The sequence below is a fragment of the Homo sapiens genome, chromosome 1 (genome assembly GCF_000001405.40).
Source record: "Homo sapiens chromosome 1, GRCh38.p14 Primary Assembly".
Taxonomy (NCBI): domain Eukaryota; kingdom Metazoa; phylum Chordata; class Mammalia; order Primates; family Hominidae; genus Homo; species Homo sapiens.
The window spans coordinates 98,322,290-98,328,962 of record NC_000001.11 but is presented as its reverse complement, the minus strand read 5'-3'; the positions used below and the strand labels follow the sequence as shown (position 1 = coordinate 98,328,962).

Below are 6,673 nucleotides of genomic sequence, written 5' to 3'. Positions count from 1 at the left end.
AATAGAGAGGAGGAGGAGATAAATGACTTTAGATAGAATAATTAGGAAGTGATTTTTAAGCTTAGCCCCAAAGAGCAAGAAGAATTTAGCCATGGGGTAAGAAAGTGGAAAGGGGCAGAAACTTTCTAAAATGGAAGGGAACAGTAAAAGGAGGTCTTGAGACAAGAAGGAGCTTGGTATGTTTAAAAACTAATAATGATAATAAAATTCACAGCTAACACTGTTCTAAGTGCTTTACTTCTGTTTGGTAACTTAACTGAGAGAGGACCAGTGTGGCTCCACATGGAAAGTTCTTAGTATTTATTGAATGAATAGATTTTTAAAATAACTGCCTACGTCCTTTAAAATGCTAATTACTTATCCATGTGATGCAAAAAGTAAGATGGGAAAGGGCACTGACATGTGAATATTGAAAAAGATACTCAGATGACACTGATTTGCACACCTGCTATTTAAGTAAATACTGCAGTTCTAAGTCACAAGTATATTTTCAAGGTGCAGCTCCTGGAATATATATATTTTTACTCCATGGTTACGAAAAGGAAATCTGTCCTGATGAAAGGCCACTGCATTGCACAGCTCCCGCTTTGCATGCCTTCATGGGCACCATTCACATTATATTCTTTGTGAATGGTGTTGTCTAGAATTTTGTAATGTGGTAGCCCTGCTGACAAAGCCATATTTCCACTGAGGTCACCAGGAGTCTGACTTACCATGATCATACTTACCTCCAAAGGTAAAAAAGAAAAGCGAAGAAAACTTGAATCATCTTGGAAGAGGCACTCCGAGAATCTTTCTGGGGAACACATACCATATGAGCATTTTATCTAACACTTTAGTGCCTGAACCGTTTTGCTAATTTGACATGGGAAGCGCTAATAAGATAAAAAGCTCAGGTGCCCTTATCCCATTAGCACTTCCTCTAGAGTTTTTCTGACCCACATTCTGACCTGATCTCTCCCTTATTCCCCATGGTTTGTATTGTACTGATTAAAGCCTTCATCCTTTTGAAAAGATGCTGGGGAATTGTCTGGATTTAACTAAAATTTCCAGCTTAAATTACTGTGTGATTTTTAGCTGATCAGAACCCATTTAGCATAGGCGGCAGTGGCCCAGTCAGGGGATAGGCGACAGAGTGCACAGAGGATGCAACCAGAAGGAGCCAGTTAATAGGCAATTAAGGCTTCATTGCCTTCCCACCACCACAAAGCTCCTTATCTGGGCTCACAACCACGAGCAAGAAAACCAGCCAGTTGAAATTGCTGTTTATTTTGTTTGGCTATATCAGAGTTTTCTTTTTGTTTTGTTTTTGGTGGTGGTGGTGGTGGTTTTCTTTCCAGATTCATCTGCGTTTAGTCAGAACTCATATTTTTCAACCTCCTAGTCTTAATCCAGACCAAACTGTTTTAGAATGTCTTTTTATTAGAAACATGTAGATTTCTCATTATTAGAAACATGCCAGTTTATTTTAGAGAAAAATAATTAAGGGATACGGTTGTATTCATCCCTATCACTCTAAGTGAAACATAAAATCCCTCTTTGCTCCTCCGCCTGCCAGGGTACATATCCAGGCTTCAGTTATTTCCTGTTTTAATTACCACAACCGCCTATTTCTTGGCCTTTTTTCCTATATTTTCTCCTCCTAGTTCTGTTTAGATTATTACTGCCAAGTCAATTTCCCTTTCATGCTAAGGACCGTGTTGACGTAGTCCTTGGATTTGACACAAGCTTCTCTAATATTTATGCTTCAACCTCGGACTCTGTCACCTTCAAAGTTTCTTTCCTTTATTAGCACCTTGTTTCCTGCCTCTCCACCTAGCTCAGTTTCCCAGTCTTTTCTCTCTTCCTGCTCACAGTTTGATGAGTTTGATGACTGTATGTAGGTAGAACACCTATCCATCTTTATTCTGCTGGTCAAAGAGGGCACCGTACTAGCAAATAGGAGACCTGGTGACAGTCTAGCCATCATCTCGCATGAGTGTTCATTTCACAGAGGAGTAAACTGGGGCACAAGAGGTGCAGGTCGCTGGTCCACAGTCATGCCGCACGTCAGTGGCAGAGGCCAAGTGAAATCCTGATTCTTCCCAGGGCTCTTGCTCTTCACCAGTGGTTCCCAGTGTTTCCAAGCATGAGGGTTCTTTCTTGATGTTAAAACTTTTGAAAAGAGATTTCTGGTTAAAAATGATAGCTAAAGGACATTTGTTTATCCCATTTCCCTAACAAAATTCCTGTAAAAAATCTAAAGATATGAATCCATATTATCTCCAGAAAAGAAAGAAGCCATCAATGGATAAGAAAATTTTACCAAATTCTGGAAAACAGTGGTTTAAAAAATGACTGCTGATGCATCAAGGACAAAAAAAAATCATAGACTATAACTGAGTGCTTTATTTTTTTTATTAGTAGCCCTATCAATAAGAATATTTTAAATACACCCTTTCTTGTATATATATACACATATGAACATATATGTATATCTACAAAATGTGTATTTTTAAATTACTTGGCTTTCTAAGCAATAAAATACATTGTTTTCTTTATCAGTTAGACTGGAGTGCAGTGGCACAGTCATAGCTCACTGTAACTGCTAATTCCTGAGCTCAAGCAATATTCCCGCCTCAGGCTCCTAAGTAGCTGGAACTACAGGCATGTGCCACCATGCCTGGTTAATTTTTAAATTTTTTTCTAGAGACAGTGTCTCACTATGTTGCCCAAGCTAGTCTCAAACTCCTGGCCCCAAGCCATCCTCCTGCCTCAGCCTCACAAAGCTCTGGGAATACAAGCATGAGTCACCATGCCCAGCCCCTTGTTTTGACAAAAAATAAAAAGTACATCAAAAGAAAAAGGCAGCATTTTAAAACCGAGCAATCACGTATAATGGAAATTACATTTTTACTTTAGAGTGACTAAGTGCCCAAAAAAGTAGTTTAAATTCGGGAATGTTTTTAAACAAATTTCTAATTTATCAATCAATTAGTATCTGCATACATATGAAACATAGTACATATATATGAAGTGTCATTTTTTCAGTATATAAGTACTGTTTGATATCTATCTGGATGATCAGACCCCTTGAAGTCACGGTGTTTGGGGAACTACCACTACAGACTATTCTTTCCATCTGCTAGGGAGTTTAATGACTAACAGGTTGAATCCAGTTAAGATTAGAAAATAACGGAACAGCAAGATTCTTCTTGTCAAAACATGATACCTGAACAAACGAAGACATTATTTCTTTGTGGGACTCATTGCCAATAGAAGATTTACTTACTCTACAGCAGATTTGAGCATTTGAAAAAGAAGGAAGAAGGGAAGGAGTCATGAGGCAGAAAGTTTATTTACCTATGGAAAGAGAAGTAGAGTTGAATAACAAATCAATGCATTTGAACATTGCAAAAGCCTCCTTAAAATCATACTTAAGCGATTGGGCTCAACTGATACCAACTCAGGCCTGATTCCTTTTCCTAAATAATTCAAATAATTGATTTTTTAACTTTTATTTATGTATATTTTCATAATTTTAGTTATTTAGGTAATTTCAGAATAACATTGCCTTCAGTCTCCATTTTCTTCTCAGAAACAATGGCAGACCTGTTCCACTAATGAGTACATCATAGGCAGCATTCCCATTTTCTCCAGACACTTTCAGTCAGTCCCAACCTTTTCTACACCCTGTGTGTAAGGGACATTTATCCAGAACCTCCAGCAGCAGTACTGGCTTCACTGAAATTACACTTTGCAATTATTGTATTTTCACTATTTTGTAATGACATTAAGTTTATCTTGATAGCTTTCAGAACTTGAAAGTCTTAATTCAAATAAAATGACTAAAATGGCTTGATTCTATATTCAAGCCAAAATTAAGACTTCTTTTCCCAAAAACAGAAAATCCCTCTAATACAGAGAAATTTGTATTCCTTTCCTCTGGAGCAACTCAGAGTTACTATTATCTTAACTTCTTTAAAAGCACATTTCTGTCTCTCATTCACTTTCTCTTTCTCTTTATTTTCTCTTTTTGTTTGTATGTCTCTGTCACTCTCTCCTCTCTTACTGTCTTAATTTTGTATCCCTCAAAATTTCAAGATGAGGTATGAGGTTCTATGATCATGATGGAACTTTGAATAACATTTTTGTGACAGTCGTGATTATACCTATCTTAACCAATAGTCTTGTAATGAGCAGATAGATTTCTATGTAAGTATAATTCATAAATAAAGAAAATAGGTACACTCAATCTCTCTTTATTAGACTTAAAGAATAAGTTGCTTATAGTCAGACCAATAGATTAAGAAAAATCATTTTAAGGAACAACTCAGTGAGCTAAATTAAAGCAGCATAGACTTCTTAGAAAAAGGTATGATTTCAGCAAAAATTTTATCCTTGTACATGACACTTGTCAACAAAAATGAAGATGAGTAGTATTGAACACAAGCCATTGTGAACATAGCAATAAGTATTATACTACTAATAATCATGCGACTTTTCTGCAAAATGTTGGAAACACGTTACTTTCATTTATGATCAGTCAAGTCAGTAACAGACAAGTCTGTTACAGGGATTTTGCCTGATACCATTGTGGGGGCTAAACACTTTCCGTAAGGCTGCTGTCTTTGTGTCTGCTGCTTGGGCATGAAGTCCAGAGGGCAGACAGTGAAAAAGAGAACATGATGTAATACAAGGATATTAAGAAAGAGCTGGAACCCACAGGCATGAACTGAAACTCCTCAGAACAGAGCAAAACCACATTTATTGGCTTTGGTGGTATGGGTGACCTGCAGAAGCAAAGGCCCTTCATCATGGTGCTATAGAATTGGTCCAAAAGTTGGAGAAGCTGAAGGAAAGTTTAGAGGAAAGTTGAACAGTTGCAGGCTCAGCTGCTGCCTCATTCCAAGGTGGTGAATCAGCAGATAAGCGACAAGGCGTGTGAACCACAAAATAGCTGAGACTTCCTTCCTGCCTTCCAAATCTTGCAAGAATTTCTCCGTGGCCCACCCTCACCAGAAATGTAATTCAGCCTAGCCAAAGTGGCATGTTACAAAGCCACCACAGTTTGTATATGGGTCATTCTTGGAATTACCGTTTTCTTTACCCCTACTTCCAATCAAATACATTTCTATCAAGTCTACCTCCAAAGCATGTTTTGAATTCATCTTTTCTTTTCCATCTCTACTTCTACTTTCTAGCAAAAGCCTCCATTTTCCCCCATCTGGACTCTGCATTGTTTAATCTTTCTGTCTTCATTCACTCTTGCAGGTCTCCAACCATTCTCATAAAAGCAATTATGCCTCTGCCCTCTTCAAGGTCTATCAAATCTCATTTCCTATAAAATCAAATCCAAATTTCATGACAACACAATGCCCAACATGATCTCACCCCAGCCTCATCTCAGGACACTCCCTCTCCAGTCACACTGGTTTCCTCTTGCTTCATTCCTGAAACCCTGTAAGCACATTTCTGCTTCAGGCCTTGGCACATATAGTTTGCTCTATCTGGAATCATATTTCCTCAGATTTCTATTATGCTAGCTGCCTTTAATCATTTGGAAATGCCACATTCTCAGAAAAGTATTCTCTGAACACACAATTAAAATGGGTGTCCCCCTCCAATTCTCCAAGTGTTTTTTCTCAAAGCACCATGCTTTTTCATTCATAACATTATCATAGTTCAGAAATATATAATTATTTGTATCCATTTTTAAAATACCTGTTCCTGCCTTCCCCCACTAGATTATACATTTTTATAAGGCCGGGGCAATAACTTTTCTGTCTACCACTACATACCTAGAGACTAACTCAGTACTTGGCATCAAGTAGTCAATAATGTATGTGGAATGCATGATTGAATGTGGCATTTCTGGATTGCATGAATTTATACCAAATAATCAGCTTAATTTCAGAAGCAAGAAAAAACAGAGAAGAGATATATTTACAGTTGTAATAGGAACAGCAGGGATTATTTCAGAGACTTATGGCATATCCAGTAAATTATTATGTTATATTAAACTGATTTTTTTTTTTAAATCATGTGGAAACAGAGAAACTACTTAGGATATGACGTTAAATTAAAAACCAGGGTAAAATATATTTAACATGATTACAACCAGTTTGTAAAAAGATAGATGGGAAAGCAAGGGAAAGGAAATGCATTGATATGTTAGTATTGCTTTACTGAGATTGCAAGATTATGATTGTCTCTTGCCCCTGTTTTTTAAATTTTCTGTGACAAGGCAAAAATGGAAATCCCTGACTTTTTTCATATTGAAAGACTATTTTTTTAAAAGCTGTTGTCAGTTCACAGTAAAATTGAGAGGAAGGCTCAGAGAGTTTCCATGTACCCTTTGCCCCCACATATGCATAGCCTACTCTATTATCAACATCTCCTGTGCATTTGTTATAATTGATAAAATTATATTGACACATCAGAATGACCCAAGTCAAAAGTTTGTATTAGCAAACATTTGTTATAATTGATAAAATTATATTGACACATCAGAATCACCCAGGTCAAAAGTTTGTATTAGTGTTTGCTTTTGGTGTCCATTCTATGGCTTTGAGCAAATGTATAATAACATGTATCCATCATTACAGTATCATACAGATGCTGTATTTTCACTGCCCTGAAAATCTTCTGTGCTCTGCTGATTCACACCGTCCCCCCACCCCCCACTGCCTCC

General features: G+C 37.2%; 1 annotated feature.

The window, feature by feature from the left end:
* Positions 4,284-5,483: an enhancer, noted in NCBI's record as "MED14-independent group 3 enhancer chr1:98789036-98790235 (GRCh37/hg19 assembly coordinates)". NCBI's record gives its function as "activates an origin of replication core promoter dependent on BRD2, BRD4, P300/CBP and CDK7 cofactors, and independent of MED14, by STARR-seq in HCT116 cells {active_cell/tissue: HCT116}" and the evidence as "EXISTENCE:reporter gene assay evidence [ECO:0000049][PMID:35650434]".